At 38.8% G+C, this 24,088-nt stretch overlaps 1 protein-coding gene across 12 annotated transcripts in view, besides 1 other annotated feature; it reads right to left on the bottom strand.

Annotated features, from left to right (window-relative positions):
* MGAM (maltase-glucoamylase) overlaps positions 1–23,816 on the bottom strand; it is a 120,230-nt gene extending 96,414 nt beyond the window's left edge. For 5 of the 12 annotated variants that reach the window (NM_001365693.1, NM_004668.3, XM_024446990.2 and 2 more), the window contains exons 1-3: positions 14,404–14,455; positions 4,677–4,805; positions 1,629–1,828 (exon numbers count right to left, since the gene is read on the bottom strand). In NM_001365693.1, coding sequence (NP_001352622.1) covers positions 1,629–1,828; positions 4,677–4,803 — 327 coding nt within the window. In that variant the 5' untranslated portion in view covers positions 4,804–4,805; positions 14,404–14,455. Of the gene's footprint in view, positions 1–1,628; positions 1,829–4,676; positions 4,806–5,845; positions 5,945–14,403; positions 14,456–20,846; positions 20,900–21,329; positions 21,433–23,799 lie in introns of those variants that run through there. The other 7 variants (XM_047421011.1, XM_017012772.2, XM_011516672.3 and 4 more) reach the window with 7 other exon arrangements.
* Positions 14,256–14,757: an enhancer, noted in NCBI's record as "NANOG hESC enhancer chr7:141695377-141695878 (GRCh37/hg19 assembly coordinates)". NCBI's record gives its function as "activates a minimal SCP1, AML or CMV promoter by ChIP-STARR-seq in naive and primed H9 embryonic stem cells {active_cell/tissue: H9 hESC(naive and primed)}" and the evidence as "EXISTENCE:reporter gene assay evidence [ECO:0000049][PMID:30033119]".

The raw sequence follows: 24,088 nt of genomic DNA, 5'->3' as shown, positions 1-24,088 counted from the left end.
TGATATGATAGGAAGGAATTCAGTGAAGATGCCCTCCAACCAGCTTCAAGCCCAGAACTAAAGATCCGAACTAGAGTTAGATAATCGAGTGATCTTTTTTTCTAAGATCCATGAAGGGGACTCCTAGAGTCCATTCTCTCCAAAGAAGAGTCTCCCAAGAGTACTCAGGGTGTCAGGGTGGCTTGATACAGTACTTCCTCCTGTACTGGAAAAGGATTCCCTCTCATAACTGGGAGAATCAAACAATGGTATTTACAACCAAGAATCATCTGCAGAGAAAGTTATTCTTTTAGTTCTTTTACATATAATCTTGGAGGACAGATGATAAGAATGATAAAATTATATAGCAATGGTTTCGACACCAGAACATTCTGCCTAGCCTATCTGTTGTGTTCATAACTTCTTCCCACCATCCTCTTTCAGCTACATTCCCTTTAATGTGAACACCATACAAACACATCATTATCCATAGCCTCAGCTCTCAACAACAATCTGGATCAGCATACCGCTCTCAGGATTCAGAAAACATACAACAAAAGTTCTAAGATGTATCTTCTACAAGAAAATGAATCATTGAAAGTGCCAGTATTTCTCTCTGGCTGAGCAAAAAAGGAGAATGCCAATTAATAAACGCCAAGGCCGTGGAGTAATTCAGTTAGATATGACATGTAGAAAAGCCAAAGTTCATTTATTGAACTTCAATCTTGATACCACAGTATTTATCAAAAGATCTTACAATAAAGCACCAAAGAAACATTACTATGGCTGTATCTGAAGTGCACCAATACCCAGTGACAAGATGGAGTGTTGCAGTAGTGTGACATACTGAGAATGTGATAATCTAGGTGAGCTTCCAAGTAATGAGTGAGCTATTGAGTACAGCTTGAGTGAGCTATTGAGTACAGCTCAATTGAGCTATTGAGTAACTTGCACAATATGACAGGGAAAGTAAATGCATGTGCATCAACTTTCTGTAAATTTGGCACATCAAACATAGGGTGTGGGCAAGTACTTTATAATCATCATAATCAGGTGGACTTCAGCCGATAATCTAGAAACACTGGGCTAAGGTAAATGCCCAGATGTCTGCACTGTCTTTAATCTGGTATTCATTACCTTCTTCCTTCCAAAACAGAGCTCTTGAAACTTTGCCCTTATTTTAAATAATGTTTTGTGAATTTTTACTGCAGATTCTAGATGAGCTTTGGAAATTCTGAAAGGAGGAGAGACATACAGGGCATGAACAGAGTCAGAAAGAACTAGTAATCATGTAGTGTTGCCATATAAAAGACAAATACGTTTTTAGTAAGTAAGCCCAAAATCTTTCACGGGACACACTTATACTAAAAGCTTATTCATTGTTTTTCTGAAATTTGAATTTGGCTGGGCAACCGCACTTTTATTTGCTGAATCTGGCAACCCAAGGGAATTTTCCAGGTCTTCCTTTCCTGAAGCTGCACTGTCATACAAGCATGGACACAGGTTAATTTGCCTGAGCCACTAATGGCTGCAACATAAACACCTCTCTTGAGAGTCACTAATAAAGAAAACCAAAACAAAACAACAAAAAAAAATAAACTATCAAGTTGCATAAATTCTAAAATGGAAACAAAATTCATAACTCAAACCTTTGTTGGCGGCTGGTCAGGGATGCAATTAATTCGTTCCAATTCATTTACCACTGGACATTCAGCAGAAACAGGAGTGGTACCAGTTGTTCCAGGATCTGGGGGACCCGTTGTCCTAGCATGTGTGGTACCAGTTGTTCCAGGATCTGGGGTACCAGTTGTCCCAGGATCTGGGGTACCAGTTGTCCCAGGATCTGGGGCTATACCAAAAGCAAACATAAAAAGACCATTAGACAAATTTAATTTCACAGACATTCAATAGTTCTCAACACCTCCAATTAACTCCACTACTGAGTAGGCTTCACTCTGATGACCTCAAAATTTATGCATTCACTTTATAAAATGTCACTTTGTTCCTGCTGACTGTATTTACCTTTGTGTATCTCTATATCATCTCCTTCTACTCCCAACTCCCTCCCCTACAAGATAGTATGTATAAGAGCAAGGACTCCGCCTTTAGACTAGAAGCTCATGAAGGTGGGGACCACCCTTCCTTTAGTCTAGGGGTCAGTAACTATGGCCTTCAGGCCAAATTAAGTCAAAGCCTGTTTTACAAACAAAGTATTACTGGAACATTACACACATGCACATTACATATTATACACATTACAAACTCGTTTGTTTTTAGCTGCTTTGTGCTACTAGGGCAAAATTAAGTCATTATGGCAGAGTCTGTATGGCCCACAAAATCTAAAATATTTACTATCTGGTCCTTTACAGTAAAGTCTGAAGACCTCTGATCTGATTCTTTACTTCCAACCCCAGCAGCAAGGGCACACAGAACATGTGCAGTACAAGTGTCATCCTAATTATAGTAACCTCAGCTTTGCTTGCTCAGTCAACAGCCAATCCCCAAGTCAAAGAATGCTTCTGAGCAATGCCATTCTTCTGTAAATACAAAGTCCTATATGACAAAAGATGTAAAGGGAGGCCACCACTCTAAAAACTGACAGCTAGGACTTACCTAAGGGCTAGTGAACTTTGAATTCAGATTTAAAAATCAGTAAATTAGAAAAGGTATTTTTATTGTATCCTAAAATAAGGAGGTGAGCTTTCTTGAAGGTATTCTGCAATAAATTAATAATGACATTAAGACAAAACAGTGTCTTTTGATTGGTTTTCTTTTCATTGGGGGTTTCAAATTCAAATTGTGCCAATGTCTGCATAATGGTTTTAGTTACATCTTTAGAATCACATAATTTTAAGAGTTGAGCAATCTTTGGGACTTTTTTCTACAAAAAGTAGATATTGTTGTAACAAGGGATGGGGTAGGAGGGGCAGAGAAGCCACAGGTTAACACTTGATTGCCTGGTTCTCCTAGGAAGTTGATCCTAGATGAATCAGATAAGAAACCATGGATAATTCAGCATAATCCAGCTCCTTTTGAGGATATAAAAATTCAATAAACAAAAAAAGTTTGATTAGATGAGGGTCTTCAGAAAGTCCATGAAAAATATGTATTATGAAAAAACTATGTATAAATTTCAAATATTTTTGGTACTAAAATAAACTCAAAGTAGATTGTTACAACATGTCTGAACAGGACTTAGCTTGAGGCACTAGGAAAGATAAGACATCAATTTGAAAAGAGCACCTATCAGAGCAACATAAATTCTGCTAAAATTGAAACAAGAACAAACATCAAACTCACGGTGAAGCTTGGGTGGAAAAATGGTGAAATCACTGATACTCACAAAAAGTTTATGGGGACAATGCCCCAAAGAAATCAGCAGTTTACAAAGGAATAACTTATTTTAAGAAGGGCCAATACAATATTGAAGATGAAGCGCACAGCAGCAGACCATCCACATCCATTTGTGAAGATAAAAATTAATTTTTTCATGCCCTAATGAAGAGGACTGACAAATAACACCAGAAACAATAGTCAAAACCACAGATGTCTCAATTGGTTCAGCTTATATAGTTCTGACTGAAAAATGAAAGTTGAGCACACTTTCTGCTCTACGGGTACCAAAATTGTTGCACCCACATCAGCTGCAAACAAGAGCAGAACCTTAAACAGAAATTTTAAACAAGTGGGGATCAAGATTCTGAAATATTTCTTCCAAGAGTTGTAGCAGGTGATGGAACATGGCTTTACCAGTATGAGCCTTAAGACAAAGCACAAAGCAATGGCTCCCAAGAGGGGAAAGTGGCCCAGTCACAGCAAAAGCAGACCAGTCAAGAGCAAAGGTCACATAACGGTTTTTTGGGATACTCAAGGCATTTTCCTTGTTGACTTTCTGGAGGGCCAAAGAGCAGTAACATCTGCTCATCATGAGAGTGCTTTGAGAAAGTTTGCCAAAGCTTTAGCAGAAAAATGCCCGGGAAAGCTTCACGGAGAGTCCTTCTCCACCACCACAAAGCTCCTGCTAATTTCATCATCAAACAAGGGCAATTTTGCAAGAGTTTTGATGGGAAATCCACCTTATGGTTCCTATTTGGCTCCTTTTGACTTCTTTTAGTTTCCTAATCTTAAAAAAAAATCTATAAAGGGCATTCATTTTTTTCAGTTAATAATGTAAAAAAGACTGCATTACAAAGGTTAAATTCCCAGGACCCTCAGTTCTTATGGATGGACTAAATGGCTGGTATCATCTTTTACAAAAGTGTCTTGAACTTGATGGAGTTTACACTGAGAAATAAAGTTTTTTTTATTTTTATCTTTCTAGCTTTCTTTTTATTTCTATATTTCTATTTTTCCACAAACTGCTTGAAGTCTCTCATATACTCGCTTGCCTTTCACATAAGGGTATTGTTAATTATCATTCTTAGCAGAATTAGACTTATTTAAGGAAATTTGGCAAATATTTTTAAAAAGTCAATTATGGAATTCTGCAATGCATTAATTGATAAATCAAAGTATCAGAACTTAAACCTACAATGAATATCTACTGAGCTGTCCAAAACACATAGAACACACACATATAACAGCCCCCGCAACAAACACATACACACATGAGCATGAAAGCATTACTTTCCTGACATTGTTGAAGGTTTGCTCTAATAAAAACAACATATGGAGAGAGCCCCAGAGTTACTTCTTACCTGTTGATTTCAGTGACTCTTTGGCTAAAAGCACAATTAGAACAATACTGATGATAAACAACACAAGCAGAAGAACACTGAGCACAATCTCCAAAGTAGTAAATTTTTTCAGCTTCTTTCTTGCCATCTCTAAAATGTAAGAGAAAACAATTTTAGATTTGAATTTGATTTACTATATAACTAGTAAGATTTTTAATGGAAAAGCTCAAATGTATGCAATGAATACTATAACAAGCCTCCCAAGCATCCATTATCTAAATTAAAAAATTATCAGCTCATGGCCAATTCATTCTGTCCTTATTCTGGTCCACTTTTCTCCCTACCCCTGAATTACTTTGAAACAAATCTCAGGTCTCATGTCTTTTAATCTAAAAATAGTATGTTTCTTTAAAAGATAAGAAATTTTGCAAAAGGCAAAATATTATCATACCTAATATATGTTTATAATAATTTACTGTCATCAAATATCTAGTGAATTTTAAAATTTCTTTCATTGTCTGATAAACTTTTATAATTTGTTCTGCTCTCCTGAGGATGCAAGTAAGATTTATCTCTTGTAATTGGTTTATATCTGTTATGTATTTTTTAATAAACAGAATTTGTTCTGTAGATTTTTCCTGCAATCTGAATTTTGTTGATTACATCTCTATGCATGCTAACATGTTTCTCTACCCTTATAGTTCCTGTAAATTAATTATTAGCTTTAGAGTTTTTATCAGATTTAAGTTTGATTTTTTAGCAAGAATGGTACATAGATGATATAGCATCTTCCAGGAGACTTTAAATCTAGTTAATTCTCTTTTTTGCAATCTTCATTCTGAAAATAACCAGCTAGACTACCTTGGAAAATTTACTTAAGCTTTCTCATTCTCAGTTTTCTCATTTACAAAGGAAATAAATTGAACTAGAAGATCTATGATATTCCTACCAGCATTTTTTTCACTTTTTAAAAATATTTTGTACTGATTTTAATTTTTATAGATTTAGGAGTACAAATGCAATTATGTTACATGGATGTATATGCATAGTGGTGAAGACTGGGCTTTTAGTGTACCAATCACCCAAATAGTGTACATTGTACCCAATAGGTAGTATTTCACCTCCCCCCTAACCCTTTCTCCTTTTGGAGTCTCTAGTGTCTATGACTCTGTATGTCCATATATACTCACTGTTTATCTCTCGTGTATAAGTGAGAACATGCAGTTTTTTACTTTCTGTTTCTGGGTCATTTCACGCAGAAAAAATAGCCTCCAGGTCTATCCATGTTGCTAAAAAATATGATTTCATTGTTTTTTATGGATGAGTAGTATTCCATGGCATATAGGTACACTACATTTTTAATCCAATCATCTGTTGATGAACACTTGGATTGATTTCATGACTTTACTATTGTGAACACTGCTGCAATAAAAATACAATTGCAGGTGTCTTCTTGATAAAACAATTTATTTTTTTATGTGTAGATACTCAGTAGTGGAATTGCTGGATTGAAGGGTAGTTCTAATTTTAGTTCCTTGAGAAATCTCCATACCATTTTCTATAGAGATTGTACTAATTTACATCCTCACTAAAACTGTATCAGCATTTCCTTTTTTCTGCATCCTCCCCAATATGTGTTGTTTTTTGACTTTTCAATAATAGCCATTCTGACCAGTGTAAGATATCATCTCATTTGTGGTTTTAATTTGCATTTCTCTGATGATTAGTGATGTTGAGCATTTTTTCATGTTTTTTGGCCACTTGTATGCCTTTTTTTTGGAAAAATACCTGTTCATGTCCTTTGCCCACTTTTTAATGGGGTTATGTGTTTTTTTTCCTGTTGAGTTCCTTATAGATTCTGGATCTTAGCCCTTTGTCAGATACACTGTTTGCAAATATTTTAACCCATTCTGTTGGTTGTCTGTTTACTCTATTTTATTTTTTTACTGTGCAGAAGCTTTTTAGTTTAATTAAGTCCCCTTTTGTCTGATTTTGTTTCTGTTGTGGTTTCTTTTGAGGACTTGGTCATAAATTCTTTGCCTAGGCCAATGTCCAGAGAGTGTTTCCTAGATTTTTCTTCTAGTAATTTTATAGTTTCAGGTCTTACATTTAAGCCTTAAATCCATCTTGAGTTAATTTTTGTACATGGTGAGAGATTTCATTCTTCTGCATATGACATCCCAGTTTTCCCAGTACCATTTATTGAATAGGGAGTCCTTTCACCAGTGCATATTTTTGTCAAGAATCAGTTGATTGTAGGTATTTGGCTATGTTTCTGAGTTCTCTATTCTTTTCTACCGATTTATATGTCTATTTCTATACCAGTACTGTGCTGTTTGCATTACTATAGTCTTTTAGAGTAATTTGAAGTCAGGTAATGTGATACCTCCAGCTTTATTCTTTTTGCTTTGGATTACTTGGGCTACTTACACTCTTTCAGGGTTCCATATGAATTTTAGGATTGTTTTTTCTAAACCTGTGAAGAATAATATTGGTAATTTGATAACAATTGCACTGAATCTGTAGATTGCTTTGGGCAGTATGGTCATTTTGATGATACTGATTCCTCCAATCCTTGAACATGGGATGTTTTCCAATTTGTGTCATCTACAATTTCTTTCATCAGTGTTTTATAGTTGTCTGTAGAGATCCTTGACCTCCTTGGTCAAATGTATTACTAGGTATTTTATTTTATTTTATTGTAAATGGGATTGAGTTCTTGATTTGGTTCTCAGCCTGATTGTTACTGGTGTATGGAAATGCTACTAATTTTTGTACATTAATTTTGTGTCCTGAAACTTTACTGAAGTCATTTATTAAATCTAGGAGTCTTTTGAAGGGTTTAGAGTTTCCTAGGTATAAGATTATACCATCAGTGAACAGAGGTAATTTGACTTCCTTTTTTCCAGTTTGGATGCCTGTTATTTTCTTCTATTGCCTGACTGCTGCAGCTAGGACTCCCAGTACTATATTGAATATGAGTGGTGACAATGGGCATCCTTGTCTTTTCTCCATTTAGGGGGAATGCTTTCAATCGTACTGAACTTTTCCCTGTTCAGTATGATTTTGGCTATGGGTTTTTCATATATGGCTTTCATTATTTTGAGGTATGGTCTCCCTACGCCAAGGTTTTTAAGGGTTTTTTTTTATGAAGGAATGCTGGATTTTATCAAATACTTTTTGTGCATCTATTGATATGATCATATGGGTTTTGTTTTTAATTCTGTTTGTGTGATGAATCACATTTATGGAATTGTGCATGTTGAATCATCCTTGCATATCTGTAATAAAACTCACTAATCATGGTGTTATTATCTTTTCCACATGCTGTTGGATTCAGTTTGTTAGTATTTTGTCAAGAATTTTTGAATCTATGTTAATAAGGGATATTGGTCTGTAGTTTTATTCTTTTGTTGTGTCTTTGTCTTTGGTATCAGGGTGATGTTGGCTTCTATATTAGTTTTTAAAAGTCATTTTCAAGTGAGTCACAGAAATCTCACACTACTCTATTTCTCCCTTTCACAAAAGACACATGTGCTAAACATTTCATTAGTGTCTTATTTTTTTATTCTATCCCCAAGTTCTTCTCAGAAGAGAAGGTGGTGCTAAATAGAGCATGAGAATCCCTGAGCTTGATTCCCAACCATACCATTTTTTGCTGTGGTAGCTGAAACAATTTATGTAATACTCTTGAGTCTCAATTTTCTTATCTGTAAAATGAAACTACAATTTCTTTTGTTATTATTATCTATTGCCACCTTCTTATTGTGGAAATCAAATAAAAATATTCTAAGTCATAAAGCACAGGTCTCATTATTTACCAAAGAGAAGACAGGTAATGGGTCCTGGGTAAGAAACAGAATGTTCCTACAAAATATGTCAGTCCCACTTTCCCTGAGTGTGTCACCACACCCGACTTGGTGTTCTGGTGGAGCAGCTGATGAACAATGCTGATTGCTGTCCTGGTTGGCTTGCTCTGGTATGACCTTCATTAAGTGCTTTATGGCCCCGTGTGTTGGATGACTCATGCATTGCCTGGGACATAGGTGCAGAAAGCCAGGAAGAGGAGCCATAGCTACAGTCTTGCCTATACAAGGCCTACTTTCTCCACCAACCCACCAATGCTTGCTTTCCCAGGCTGCCTTGTAAATCATACTCTCTTTACTCAAAAAGAACATCACCCTTCTTCTCCTGTGAGGTCTTAATTCATGACTCCCTAATTTAGGAATTGTTTGATATTTCCTTGCGGTCTCATTCTCCACCCAATCAATGTTTCCTCCCACATTCTCTTCAGTAGGAAGCAGCCATCCTTAGTCATTTATCCAAGGATTGGTTGAATAAGAGGACTTACTTCTCATACACTGATAAGAAACTGCTGTTAGTCAACGTAATGCCCTCTTACTATGCAAAAGGAAATGGAGCTGTGAAAGCAACCTTTCTCTACAGCAAGGATTGCCTTGTGTTTTCTAGAATAAATTACTCCAATTCTAGTCTTTCTTACCATGACTGTCACCACTATCTCACATTCCAAAGAGCTTCATAAGAAATCCTATAAAATTAAACTTGCTTGTTAAATTCCATAAAGATTAATAATCTCTCATGCCTGGTATAATTAAATTAACTAATAAAGCAAAGAGTAATCTTATGTTCACTGATAAGAAGAGGAGTTAGAATGTCTATCCAAGTGACCATGCCTCCTCTTTGGTAGATGCTAATAGTTGTAAGATGTGAGATTGCTTTTTATAAAAATATTTAATTTTTTTCCAAGTGTTTATTAACACACTATGTTAGACACTATGAAGAAACACCCACCGACTGCTGGTCAAACTATAAACACCCTATGCTCAATGAAGACTTGGTAAAAACTATTAAAATTACTCATGCCCATTACCCAGCAATTGCATTTATAGAAATTCATCCCTTAAATACACTTACACACTTGGGAATCAATGTATATACAAATAAAGGTTTTTCATCACAGTATTACACGTAATAGCAAAAAAGTGTAAATATCCATAGAGACAGCAATCAGTAAATACGTGAAGTAAAATATAATTCAATGTTATTTAAAATCATCACACGGCAGGTGTTTTTAATTTAACAAATTATTTGATACTCCTCTCTTCAAGAGGTAGGGCGAGTCCCCACCACCTCACCCTCTGAGGATGAGCTGGACTTAGTGACTCACTTTCAACAGATAGGATGTGGAGAAGGGATGGCATCTAACTTCCAAGACTAGGCATTACAGCTTCCTCCTTGCTCTTTCTCTTGGATCATTTCCTGAAGAAACCAGTTACCATGCCATCATAACATTCAAGCAGGACTATGGAAATTTCTAGCAAAGAACTGAGGTCTTCTGCTAAGAGCCATCTGAGTGAGGTCCCTTGAAAGCAAGCCTCTACCCCTATTCAAGCCTTCACATGACTACAGTCCTGGCTGACATATTGGCTGGATTCATGAGAGACCCTAAATCAGCACCACTCGGCTAACTCACCCCCATATTTCTGACCTACATAAATTGGGAGATAATAAATGTTTGTTGTTTTAAACTACAAAATTGTAAGGTAATTTGTTACCCTGCAATAGATAACCAATATGCATAGGTAAATATGACTTTTTAATAAAATATCATTAGCATATTTTTAAAAACATGTTTGCTGTTTATTAATAGTCCTTTTGCTCCATATTTTCAAATATGGTTACTTGCTCTATGGAACAATAATATCTATTTTCTAGCTATACAAGAGAAAGATTTCCTTAAACCTTAAAAAAAACTCCAGCATTATCTGATTGACCTTACTTCCTGCATTATAGAACTCTTGATGGTGAAGCTTCCTATCTCAATTAGAAATGCAATTGAAGAAAAACTAAGATCAGGAAAAATGGCAAGACGCAAATAAAAAAGGAAATAATTTAAATAGGGTTAAGGGCTTTTAAAAATGTTTTTTAAAAAACTGCTACTTGGCAATCTGTCCTTAATCTTTGACTATTTTTTTATAGGACAAATATATAACTATGCAATTTTAATGCTAATGATAATAATGGTTAACAGTGATTGAGCAGATATCCTAAGAGGTTTCCATAATTTGTCACATGCCATTTTTATAACGACTGCAAGTTAATCATGGCTACTATCCTCACTTTCAGATGAAAAAACTAAGCTTCAGAAACGTCAAATAAACTGCCTGATGTCATCATACAGCTGATAAGGAGCAAAGCCACAATTTGAACACCTGCCCTTTGGACTCCACAGCCATGGCTTTTAACCATCACTCTGTATTCTATGCTATAATGCCCCACAGTGTACACCAGCTTGGGCTTTCTGTGAGATTATAGTTTTATCAAATAAAAACACATTAAGTTTATGGCCCATAGCACGTTTTAAATTATCTGGGAGACCTAGAAGAAGCTACTGATGTGCCTCATTTGCCAAGATCATTCATCATTATCTAAACTACATCTCTGGAAGAAAGAAATCTGCTTGCAGTTTATTTATTCATTCATGAATTATTTATTAAGTTCCTACAATGTGCCAAGCATTCTTTCAAAAACTGACTACACAACAATGAACAAAACAGATAAAAATCCCTGCCGTCATGAGACTTATGTTCCCATGAATAGAAAAAAGAGACAATAAACAAAATAAATAAATATACACTGGGTTATACTGTGTAAGTATATGGAGAAAAAGTGGGGGGTAAATGAGGAATGTTGGGGTAAGGGTGGCAATTTTAATTAGGTTGGTCAGAAAATAATCTTACTGAAATATAAGAATTATTACTATATACATATGAACGCTTTTACACTGTTGGGAGTGTAAATTAGTTCAAGCATTGTGGAAGACAGCGTGGCAATTCCTTAAGGATCTAGAACTAGAAATACCATTTGACCCAGCAATCCCATTACAGGGTATGTACCCGAAGGATTATAAATCATTCTACTATAAAGACACACGCACACGTATGTTTACTGCAGCACTATTTACAATAGCAAAGACTTGGAACCAACCCAAATGCCCATCAATGATAGACTGAATAAACAAAATGTGGCACATATACACCATGAAATACTATGCAGTCATAAAAAAGGATGAGTTCATGTCCTTTGCAGGGACATGGATGAAACTGGAAGCCATCATTCTCAGCAAACTAACACAGGAACAGAAAACCAAACACTACATGTTTTCACTCATAAGTGGAAGTTGAACAATGAGAACACATGGACATGGGGAGGGGAACATCACACATTAGGGCCTGTCAGGGGATGGCGGGCTAGGGGAGGGAGAGAATTATGACAAATACCTAATGCATGTGGGGCTTAAAACCTAGATGATGGGTTGACAGGTGCAGCAAACCACCATGGCGCATGTATACCCATGTAACGAACCTGCACATTCTGCACATGTATTCCAGAACTTAAAGTAAAATTTAAAAAAAGAATTATTACTATATATACATTACGCAAAAGCAATAGAATTTTTTTCTTCTTGAATTATTTAGTATATGAATAATTGTCAAAGCTCATTGTCCTGGTACCATTATAGTTCTTTAGGCAAAGTAGACAAACCACATGGGGGCCCAAATTATTAAAATGGCTATCTAAATTAATTTGGAAAAACTGGATATTTGTCCTCTTTCCGGCATTATAGCCAGCGTTTGATGTGTATATGGAGGTCTAAGCCATTCTTTTAAAATCCTTTGCTAACACAAGACATGAGATCTAGTGGAAAAGAGGATTCATTGTGGATAGATAGACTAAGAACAACTTGCAAAGAGGACCCCAGTGAGCCATAGCTATTCATCAAAAATGCTGGGCGATATTAGTAGGTTGGGCCATCCTTTCCCAGCTGCTTGGTGAATGGGAAGGGATAAGGTAGCTAATGAATGGCTTTTTTCTTCCAAGTCTGGTCACACCCAAGGTGAGAGATTTAAGAGTCAGCTCTGACCCTAGCCAGCTGTATGACCTTGGAAAAATCCACTTAACCCCTCTGGGTCTCAGTTTCCCCATCTGAACTGCAAAAGGATCATCTCTAGGAGACAGCTAACTCCTCCTTGAGCCCAGCAACAGGGTGTGCAAAGGCTTATATTTCTCATCACATTCCACAGCTGCCACCTGAACAAATTTTAAATGGAAAATTTCTTTTCTAGTTCCATTCCATGCTTATAGAACAATTTTTATAGTAATTTTATTAGCTCATTAAAATGTATTTGTGAGGGAATGCCTGATAATAAAAAATAATCATTGGCATCTTGTGAGAGTGTGACTGAAATAGCAACAAGCTGTCTTAAATTTAGTGTCCCACTTCATTTGGTCCCTGGTAGCACAGGGACCTACCAGCACAACAAACCAAAGACCCCCTCCATCTCACCCCCTCTTTGCACACCTACAGACATACACTTACTGTCCCACACCAGGACACAGACTGTAGACAGTTTGGACATTGGGAGGTCTTCCTCGCCCAGCAAAGCCACTGATCAGATCCTGCATGAAGAACCTAGTGGTATCCTTTTTCAGGGAGACCCATGGGGATTAGTCTCAATTTCTCTCTCTTTCCCCAAGAGTAACTCTCCCTTCCCACCTCTGTAACCAGTCAGAAAAGAAATGCCTGCGTGTGTCTAGCTAGACTGGCAACTAGTAAGGATCCAACTTTTTTTAAGTTTTATTTTAAGTTTTATTTTAAGTTTATTTTAAGTATTTTATTTTAAGTTTTTAAGTTTAAGGGCCAACAACAATTTATCACCTTCTCCTCTTCCCACGAGCACTCCCATTCTACTCCACACATGACTGCCAGGACAGATACCCTACCTTTCTCTTTATGACCTCCTCCCACATTCCACAGGAAACCTCTCCTACCCACCAATGCACACCAACTCATAAATGCATCCCAATATTTTACACACATCCTCAGACTATCCCCTAAAATTATTCTGTATTTAATCAACAGAGGCACCAAACCCATAAGCATAGTGATATATTTCTCAATTTTCTGATTATAATTGGTTCTTCAGTTACATTTTCTCAATCACAACTCCAAATCCTTTCAGAGGGAAAATGCTCTAATCTCACTCCCAAATTCTAACTCCTTTTATTCATTTCTCTCACTTCATTTCCAGAATCTGAAAGAATTTCTGCCTGCTACCTCAACCTAAGTATTAAATAATTCATCACACCTCACACAGAAACACACACAAACACACAGGTTTCACTACAATCAGGCTTATAGATCCAGCCTTAGTTCAGAAAAATATACACACACTAAGAAAAAAAGATAAATGAGAATTTTGTTCCATGTGTATGCATGTGCATAATTTTTGATTTATTATTGGTGTTGTTTATCTTTGTGTTTAACAAATTAACAAGGGCTTTTTTTTTTTTTTTGAGACGGAGTATCGCTCTACGACCCAGGCTGGAGTGCAGTGGCGTGATCTCGGCTCACTGCAAGCTCTACCTCCCAGGTTCACGCCATTCTCCTGCCTTAGCCTCTCCGAGTAGCTGGGACTACAGGCGCCCGCCACCATGCCCGGCTAATTTTTTGTATTTTTTTAGTAGAGATGGGGTTTCACCATGGTCTCGATCTCCTGATCTCGTGATCCACCCGCCTCGGCCTCCCAAAGTGCTGGGATTACAAGTGTGAGCCACTGCACCCGGCCAACAAGGGCATTTTGACTAAAAGAGATCAACTCAAATTCACACACACTTGTAGACACACATCTGTAACCGTAAAAGAATACAAGGTTCACAAACATACCTCATTACCTCTTGCAGCCGCTCCCTCTCTGTCTGAAGGATGGCTTAGCAATAAAAGCAGAGGAGCACAGTCCACCAAAGCAACCAAAGATCTGGTAACTATTTACCGACCTATCAAGAAAATGTTAATGGCTTTCAAATGCAAATGAATGGCCAGCTTTTATTTCCAGGATCAGAATTTTTAGTTAATTAGTAATCGTGGTCTTGCTCTAAGAAGGACATCCTTAAGACTTTTGGAAGGAAAAGCCAGCTCCCATGACCCACTCCATCCCCTCCAGGCACTGAATGTTTAATCGGTGGTGAGGACACCCTGTATGTCTGGTAAGAGAACACAGACACAATTTGTAGATGATAAAGAGCAAAAAATAAATGACCCCAGTATTCCAAAAGAGCCCTGGTCTCTTGCACTGACTCCGAATCTCTCAGGAACTCACTGACGTTTAGTAGCACAATCTGATGATTGTGATGGAAGGAAGTTGTTTTAAAAATGTTTTAAAAATAGTTTTCTTCTTTCTTCTTTAAGGTGTCCTTAAGCTTGTTTGCAGTATGGAAATCCTTTAACAGTCTGGTGACTCTTGAACTGCCTTTGCAGAACTATAAATAAGAGAAATCTAACAAGACTGACTCCATCTTGCTTCTAACCTCCCAGGCTAAATTATGTTTTCTAGGGGATTTTTTTTTTTTTTGGTTGGCTTTTTGCTTATTCTAGTACAAAGGCCAAGAAACCTATGAGAGGGATTTAGTTTATAGTTAAACTTGGAGTCAAGGGAAAATGATCCCCCTCCTTGCCTGGAGCTTAAAGGCGCATTCATAAGGCAAGGTTGGAATTATGGTAGGGGCTTAGACTTTGCTAAAGAATAGGCATAAACAATGTCCTGCCATGGCTTAGTTTGTTTTTCTATAAGTTGCTTACTGCCCCAGTCACACAACCAGTGTCACAAAATTCATAACTTCCCCAACTACCAAAGATAACATCACTGTATTGGTCTGTTTTCACACTTCTATAAAGACATGCCTGAGACTGGGTAATTTATAAAGAAAAGAGGTTTCGTTGACTCAGTTCCGCAAGGGTGGGAAGGCCTCAGGAAACAATCATGGTGGAAGGGGAAGCAGGGACTTCTTAACATGGCGGCAGGCCAGAGAGAGTGAGCAAGAGCAGGGAAAACTGCTTTGCAAAACCATCAGATCTCATGAGAACTCACCCACTATCATGAGAACAGCATAGGGGGATCCGCCCCCATGATCCAATCACATCCCACCTGGTCCCTCCCTTGACACATGGGGATTATGGGGATTACAATTCAAGATAAGATTTGGGTTCTGACACAAAGCCTAACCATATCAATCACTATTGTGAAACCTAAATAACTGGTCTTTTAGATATTTGTTAGCATTTCAGTAGACCAACAGACACCACCTAGTCTTGAGGCCAACACACACACCCCTCCTGGGAACTGACTCAGTTGCACAAAGACAGTTTTAGGTGCTCCTGTGATTTCATTCCCTGCCAATCAATTATACAAGTTCCCCAGCCCCATGCCCACCAAAGTACCCTTTACAAACCTTAGCCTTTGAATCCTGAGGGAGAGGGGATTGAGAAGTTTTTGCCTGCTCTTGTTTGGCCAACACTGTGATTATTCAACTCTTTATTTACTGCAATGCCTGCTGTTCTCATTGATCTTTTTGGAGGGCAGTGGGCAAGAAGAACTTATGGAGCTGAGACATGCTTATAAACCCCTCTTAGAATTAATTCTTAGGCCAGGTGCAGTGGCTCACGCCTGTAATCCCAGCACTTTGGGAGGCTGAGGTGGACAGATCACCTGAGGCCAGGAGTTCAAGACCAGCCTGGCCAACATGGTGAAACCGCGTCTCTACTAAAAGTACGAAAATTAGCCGGGCATGGCGGTGCGTGCCTGTAATCCCAGCTACTCATGAGGCTGCGGCAAGAGAATCACTTGAACCCAGGAGGCGGAGGTTGTAGTGAGCTGAGATACAAAGAAAATCAATTACATTGAAACACAGTTACTATAATATTTTTTAAATTATAGTTTGTGCCTCTTTAATGACATACTAACAATAAAGCGATATGTCTAATAGCGATTGCAATTTCAAAAACATGATAAGCGTAAACAATATCTTGAGATTGTTTTAAATATATGATGTGAAAGTAACTGTGACCTCTCTTGAAACCAAATTCATAGGTACTACTAACACCACTGTAGTTTGCAGCCTAACTCTAAATTTCAATTAGAATTTAGCAAAGAAAAGATATGTAAATATTTTCCCCCTCCAAGTTCACAGGCTTTCAGAATTATATCTACAAACCCCAGGTTAAGAACTTTGCTCTGTTACTAAGTGGACCTTCCTCCAAGTGGGGCAGAGTTCCCCGCTCTGTGATACTCCAAGAGTTATCTGTGAACCTGTGGTTGCCAGCTTCCAGAAAAATAAGCACAGAAATTGAAGGTAAGTGTTGAGAGACTTGCATTACAATTTGACAGAATCATTTCATGTCATTGATCTTGATAATTAAAAAATGGAGCTTGTATCTGTATATGCTTTTTTAAAATTTATTTTTCAAGTAATTTAGTTTTAATTTTACAAAAGCCACAGTCTGTGATATATTGGACAATTTTAAAACAATTGCTGTTTTACCACACATAGTTTAAAAAGTCCTGCTCAGCTACTGCTATTTCTAGGCATTTGTCTTTATGGGCTAGTGAAAATTCAGAAAAAAATCTGGGCCAAGAGACCTAAATTTATAAACCATGTATATCATCTGGAAAATACAAACAAAAATCACTATCTCTTATCACAGTCGTTTCACAGTAGACATAGACAGATAATCAAAATTGAATCAATTTATCTCTTTGAAAGTTTACTTCCTTATCCTTACTTTTCTGATTTCATGAACCATCAGTGAACAACAACCACCGTGGTAACACTGACTTACCGTGTTTCTTTGGCATCATAGAATCAAAGAATTTACAGCTAAAAGAGGAAAGAAAGGAAAACTGGCATGCATGGAGGCTGGCCGAGTGCCAAGACCTTGGGTCTGAAGCAGTGGCTCATACATGTAATCCTAGCACTTTGGGAGGCCAAGACGAGAAGATCACTTGAGCCCAGGAGTTCAAGGCCAGCCTGGGCAACATAAGGAGAACATGTCTCTACAAAAAATAAAAAAAATCAGCTGAGTGTGGTGGTCCACACCTGTAGTCCCAGCTACTTGGGAAGCTGAAGTGGGAGTATCACCTGAGCCTGGGGGTCAAGGCTGCAGTGAGCTATGATCATGTCACTGCAGCCCAGCTTGGGTAACAGAGTGAGAGCCTGCCTCAATAAAAATAAATAAATAAAAACAAGACCTTCACCTACATGATCTCACTGATGTTCACAATGGCCCCAAGGCAGCAAATGTCTAAACTGCCACCCAAATGCACATCCATCAAGCTCCTAAGACATGTGACTTGAGTTGTTTGGTATCGCCCTTAAAGAACTTTAAAAATCACTAAGCATAGCCTCCTTATTTTACAGAAGAGGAAATTGAGACCCAGGAATAGGAGGTTTGTGTGGGTGGTGACTCAGAGTTCCAGATCCGAACAGGGCAGGCCTGAATTGCAAAGCCCAGGTCTGCTTATTAACTGGGGGAGCTTAAGCAACTAAGTCTCTGATTCTGTAACTTAAATGAAGATTAAAATACTACCTATCAATAAATTTATAAACTAGACAAAATAATGTGAGTAAAAGACTTGATGTTACTTAGTAAATACTCAGTAAGTGTCAGTTACAATTAATATGATCAGTTTGCATCTGCCACAGTTGTGACAAGAGCTCAGACCCTGAATCCCCAATCCAAGGCCCATTCAAATATGCCAATCTCTCATTCGACCCCAAATCAGAATTCCGAACATAGCAGGCAGTCATTCATGTTTACAAAGGAAAAATTATTGAACACCTACCCTGCACAACATCTATGATGTTGCCTGACTGTAGCAGTTTAAAGGCTTAGCTCCAAGTCCCTGGATTTAAAAACATGGTTCAGGCCAGACCAAGGTATAATCATTGTGGTGCCTGGAGTGGCTTGCTGTCTGGTGACATGGCCTTATCTAGGCTTGGAGATATTAGAAAAGCATGTCTACTTGGGAGCCTCGAAGACTATGCAAACGTGAGGATTGGAATGTGATTAAAATATCTCCTTTTCTCGGCCAGGTGTGGTGGCTCACGCCTGTAATCCCAACACTTTGGGAGGCTGAGGCAGGCGGATCATGAGGTCAGGAGTTTGAGATCAGCCTGACCAACATAGTGAAACCCCGTCTCTACTAAAAATACAAAAATTAGCTGGGCATGGTAGCGCGTGCCTATAATCCCAGCTACTCAGGAGGCTGAGGCAGGAGAATTGCTTGAACCTGGGAGGCGGAGGGTGCAGTGAGCCGAGATTGTGCCATTGTACTACTCCAGCCTGGGCAACAGAGTGAGATTCTGTCTCAAAAAAAAAAAAAAATCCTTTTCTCCATCCCCAGCCACCACCCTTACCCTAACCATTGTGACCCCACCTCTGGATCAAGCATTAGCCCTGGGGCTGCCTCCTCACTTCCGGCCACAGAAAATATAGCAATAACCACTTCCTCCACACAATTCCATCAATATACAGTCATTATGTGTGTACTACAAACAAGGCACTATGAGAATAACAGTAACAACATCTACAGAGTGCGTACTGTGGCCTATGTTCTATGCTAAATGATTTCCATGCATTATTTCACTTCCTCCTGGTAACTACGCTATGCAGTCGGTACTGTTATTATCCCAGTTTTACAGATGAGAAACCTGAGGCACAAAGGCGACTTGCCCCAGGTCATGTAACTAATGAGAGGCAAACCCAGAATGCAAAGCCAGGCAGTCTGGTCAAGCCTGCACTGAAATATAGATGAGCGTGATTCCTCCATGACCTCATAGCAGAGAGAAGTCAAATGGCTACGATGCTAAAGAGAAGACAGCACCAGCAAATGCTACTGGACAGAGAATACACATGCTGGGAGGGACAGGAAAGAAATCAAAGCCATAGCTGGGTGGAAGTGGGAAGGGAAGGCGAAAAGGAAAGATATTTTGGGCGAAGGGAGCAGCATTAGCCAGACCCACAGGTAAGAAATAACAGAACCGGTGCAGCGCACCAGCATGGCACATGTATACATATGTAACTAACCTGCACATTGTGCACATGTACCCTAAAACTTAAAGTATAATAATAAAAAAATAAAAAATAAAAAAACATAAAAAAAAAGAAATAACAGAACCTGTTTTAGAAACTGCAGTAAAAAGACACAGAGAAGACAGTTGTGAGACAATCAGGGACACTTCTGGGAAAGTACACTGGAGCCACAATGCAGAGATTCTAGCATCTCATCTCAGCAAGAAGATTTTGCAAGCAATAGGGAACCACTGCAGGTAAGAAACTGCCCAGAGCTGTCATAAGCACGAGATAGATTTCTACACAGATTCAAAACACTGGATTATCTGCTTCTTTCAGTTTTTAGTCCAGAAGAATATTACTTCTCCCCACACCTCCAAGCAGACTAAGTATCCACAGGGGACTCTGGAAGCTGCACAGGTGCATGTTCTTTGGAGTGAAGTTGTGTAGATATGAGGAGGGAATGAAATAATGCATGTGAATCATTTGGCATGATACATAGGCCATAGTAAGCATTCTATGTGTGTTGTAATTGTCGTTCTGACATTTCCCCTTTCCCAAGCCACTGGGGTAATAGTGCATTCAAGAATATATTGCTCTGTTTTATAGGTGTGCATTCCCCAAAGTGCTCAGAGGAGTGCTAGCCACTCCTTAAGATGCTGCCCACAGAGCCTCCTCAAACTCTCTGTCAAAGCCAGACCCACATGAAGAGCCCATTCTGAATGCTGAGCCCAGAAGTGACAGATGAGGCCCAGTGTGCATCCTTCCTCCTCCTACATGGAACATGACTTCATGTGTTCTCCCTTCCTGGAATAAAATCCTTGTAGAAAATAATAATTTTATCTGTGTGGATTTTACCAGTAATTAACTATGGGTGGATTAGGTGTCCCTAAAATATCCCTTTAGTATGAAATTGTCAAACATAGTATTTCATTCAAGATAAATCTTTTTTTGGAGAGTATTTTCATGTTAAATTTTCAGATGATTTCAACTGAAAATCTGGGGAATTTTCCATAAAAATTGAGGAATTTTGGAAAATTTGGAGAATGCACTTTAGGGATTCTCAGCCTCCATACAGCAGCAAGAGGATCACTTGAGCCCAGGAGTTTGAGGCTGCAGGGAGCTATGATAGCACCACTGCACTCCATCCTGGGCAACACAGCAAGACCCTGTCTCTAATAATCGAAAAAAAAAAAAAGAAAGAAGAACATGGAGTTTCAAATCAAACTAGCCTGGGCTTAAATATGAGGTCCTCTACTTACTTTCTGCAGAACTTGGACAACCATTTCAATTTTCTGAAGCTCAGTTGCCTTATCTGGAAATCAGGGATGATCATGAGTACTTCATGATGTTACTTTGAGCCTAAGCTGACATAAGTACCTGACATCCAATGTCAGTTTCCCAACCCCTCCTCAGCCAGTCCTTTCTGAAAATGAAATAATATCCAACAAGCAGTATCATTAGCTTAAATTCTGTTAAGAACTATTCCTCCAGTTCCTCAACCCTTAGGAATAGCCACAGTAAACAGTCAACACATCCCACACTGAACTGATTCCACAGGCCAATGGAGAAAAACCACTACTACAAGACTCTCTTTCTCTCTCTCTCTCTCTCTCTCCCTCTTTCTCTCACATACTCATACACACACACACACACACACACACTCACAAGCACATGGCATCTACACCCCCACCTATCAAAATGATTTCTCACAGTCTTCATAGCCTACAAACATTAATTTTTACCTCTGTTTTTATTGCAGCCAAGTTGTTTTCCTTCTTTTGTCCCATATAAAAGACCTTAACATCTCATGCCACCTGCAAAGGGCAAAAAGGAGTTAGTTGGAGTAGGAGTAATTTCTCTGCCCAGAAATGTTCAGAGGAAGGTGAGAGTGGAAACAATGTACACAGGACATTACAGCATTTCCTTGTCTTGTGAAATGTCTATTATTTAGCAGCTTTACACCGTCTTCTACTCCTTTCCTCTTCACCACCACAGATAAGAACACATGCACACACAAGTATGAGTACAGAGAGAATTTTAGGAATAACACATCACCTAGTATTCACATAAAACTTTACATTTGGCCATGCATGGTGGCTCACGCCTGTAATCCCAGCACTTTGGGAGGCCGAAGCAGGTGGATCACCTGAGGTCAGGAGTTCGAGACCAGCCTGGTCAACATGGTGAAACCCCGTCTCTACTAAAGATATAAAAATGAGTCAGGCATGGTGGCGGGCGCCTGTTATCTCAGCTACTCGGGAGGCTGAGGTAAGAGAATCGCTTGAACTTGGGAAACAGAGACTGCAGTGAGCCCAGATTGCGCCACTGCACTCCAGCCTGGGTGACAGAGTGAGACTCTGTCTCAAAACAAAACAAAAAACGACAACAACTTTGCATTGTGTGACACTTTGCAGTTTTCAGAGTACCTTTTAAATATTTTTGTTTTTTTTTAAGACAGAGTCTTGCTGTGTTGCACAGGCTAAAGTGCTGAAGTGCAGTGGCGCAATCTCGGCTCACTGCAACCTCCTCCTCCTGGGTTCAACCAATTCTTCCACCTCAGCCTCCTGAGTAGCTGGGATTACAGGCATGCACCACCACGCCCGGCTAATCTTTGTATTTTTAGTAGCTATGGTGTTTCACCATGTTGGCCAGGCTGGTCTTGAACTCCTGACCTCAGGTGATCCACCCACCTTGGCCTCCCAAAGTGCTGAAATTAAAGGCATGAGCCACCACGCCCAGCCTCGGAGTACTTTAATCTGTACTATTTCATTGATCACAACAATCCTTTAAGATAAGGCAGGTATTTTTAATGCCCATGTATAAATGAGGAAACAGAAACTAAGAGAAATGAGTTGCTAAAGGTCACTCATATAGTGGTGGGGTTAAAGTCATACTAATTTAATTTCAATCCAGGAATCCAATGTTCATAGGGTTTGAAAGCAGTAAATACAGAAAATGGCTTTTTCAAACTAAATGTTTGTTCATTCATTCAACAAATTCAAAGTGGATTTGCCACCAAGTCTCCCAAACGGGAATCCCTCCAATCCTATCAGTTGTCAAATTCTAGCATCCTCACCTCAGAGATGGCTATTTCTCTTTAAGCTCAAATCTTGTTCTAGAAACCCCCATTATTTCCTCCATGCCCCCCTCCCCTGTGCCTCGCTGACACCTGCATGGTCCACTTCTGTGTGGGAAGCTCAACATAACCCTAACACTCTGATCTCAGCTGAGTGAACCAGCTGGACAGATGATCCGACTTCGTCCAGATGGATTCGCCCTCCCAAAAATTTAGATTTGAGACACAGTGCCTGAATCATACTGCACTGAGTGAGCACTATGTCTGTGGGATTACGGCATGTTATTAAGATACAGAGATTAGTTTTACTGAAAATGCTTGTTTGTCCAAAAGAGAATGGGATACACATGTAGAGAGTAGCAGAAAGAAAACATTCAAACCCACAGAAGGAAAAGCAGAGAGATTAACTGCCAGTATTCTTTTCATTTCTGTGAAGGCCAAGGTACAAGTTAATTTCATGTAATTCTCCTATTTCTTCATCAAAACACTACCTTTACTATGCCTATGACTACCACCACCACTACCAGCACCACCACTATCCTAACTTCCAGTTTCTGTTTCTGTGCCATGTGACAAAATGGTCCCTGCTAGCCCTGCTATGACAGGCTCGTGTTTCGTCTCCATTGTCCAGTATAAATAAATATCTCCACCAAAAATGTCTAATCATAGTCTACCCTATGAGCAAAAAGTTGTCCTCCTGTTATCTGCATTTTTCTGGCTTTTACCACCACCTGCAAGTGTAGGACCTCCAAATCTCCACAAAGTCCCTCCCAATTGTTTGGCATCCCCATTGAGTTCTATTTTTTTAGATGAGGGTACACATACCCTAGGAGGTATGTGGTGGCATATTGAGAGGGTCATAATGCATTTTCTTGGAAATACCATTTTAGTTCAAGATTATTGGAGAAGAGTAAGTAATTTCAATCAATATTTTGAATTGCTAAAATTGTGGCAGTATAATATAATAGTATGCAAATGTACACAATTGTTTTTCAACATCAAACACTAAATTCTGCAGAAATTTTCCCCTATAATGAGCCACTGGTAGGTATATTTCCCCTCAGTCCCCTACCCCAAGGGAAAAATGTGAAAAGAATGCCATAGGAAATGTCTTAAATTCACAAACAATGTCTTACAGCCATGTACGGTCTCTGTCATGTTTGCTGTCTTCTCTGGCTTGGCATCCTTCCTCCAGGTACCTCCCTCTCCTCCTGGTCTGCTCTCCGGGAATTGCCATGTCCACACTGTCTCTGGGTATGGCTTGAGCTCCCGTGTCTGCAGACAGAGAAAGAACCCTCCAAGTGCCAGAGCTACACAGTGTTCTCTTATGTGAAATCTGCTACGAAGAAGCACGAAAGGGCTGTCATCCAATGGCTTACAGCTCTATCAGCTTTTACTTAAAACCTCCTCACCCTTAGCTCATGT

Source organism: Homo sapiens, chromosome 7 (genome assembly GCF_000001405.40).
Source record: "Homo sapiens chromosome 7, GRCh38.p14 Primary Assembly".
NCBI lineage: Eukaryota > Metazoa > Chordata > Mammalia > Primates > Hominidae > Homo > Homo sapiens.
This window is presented reverse-complemented; position numbering and strand designations above follow the sequence as displayed.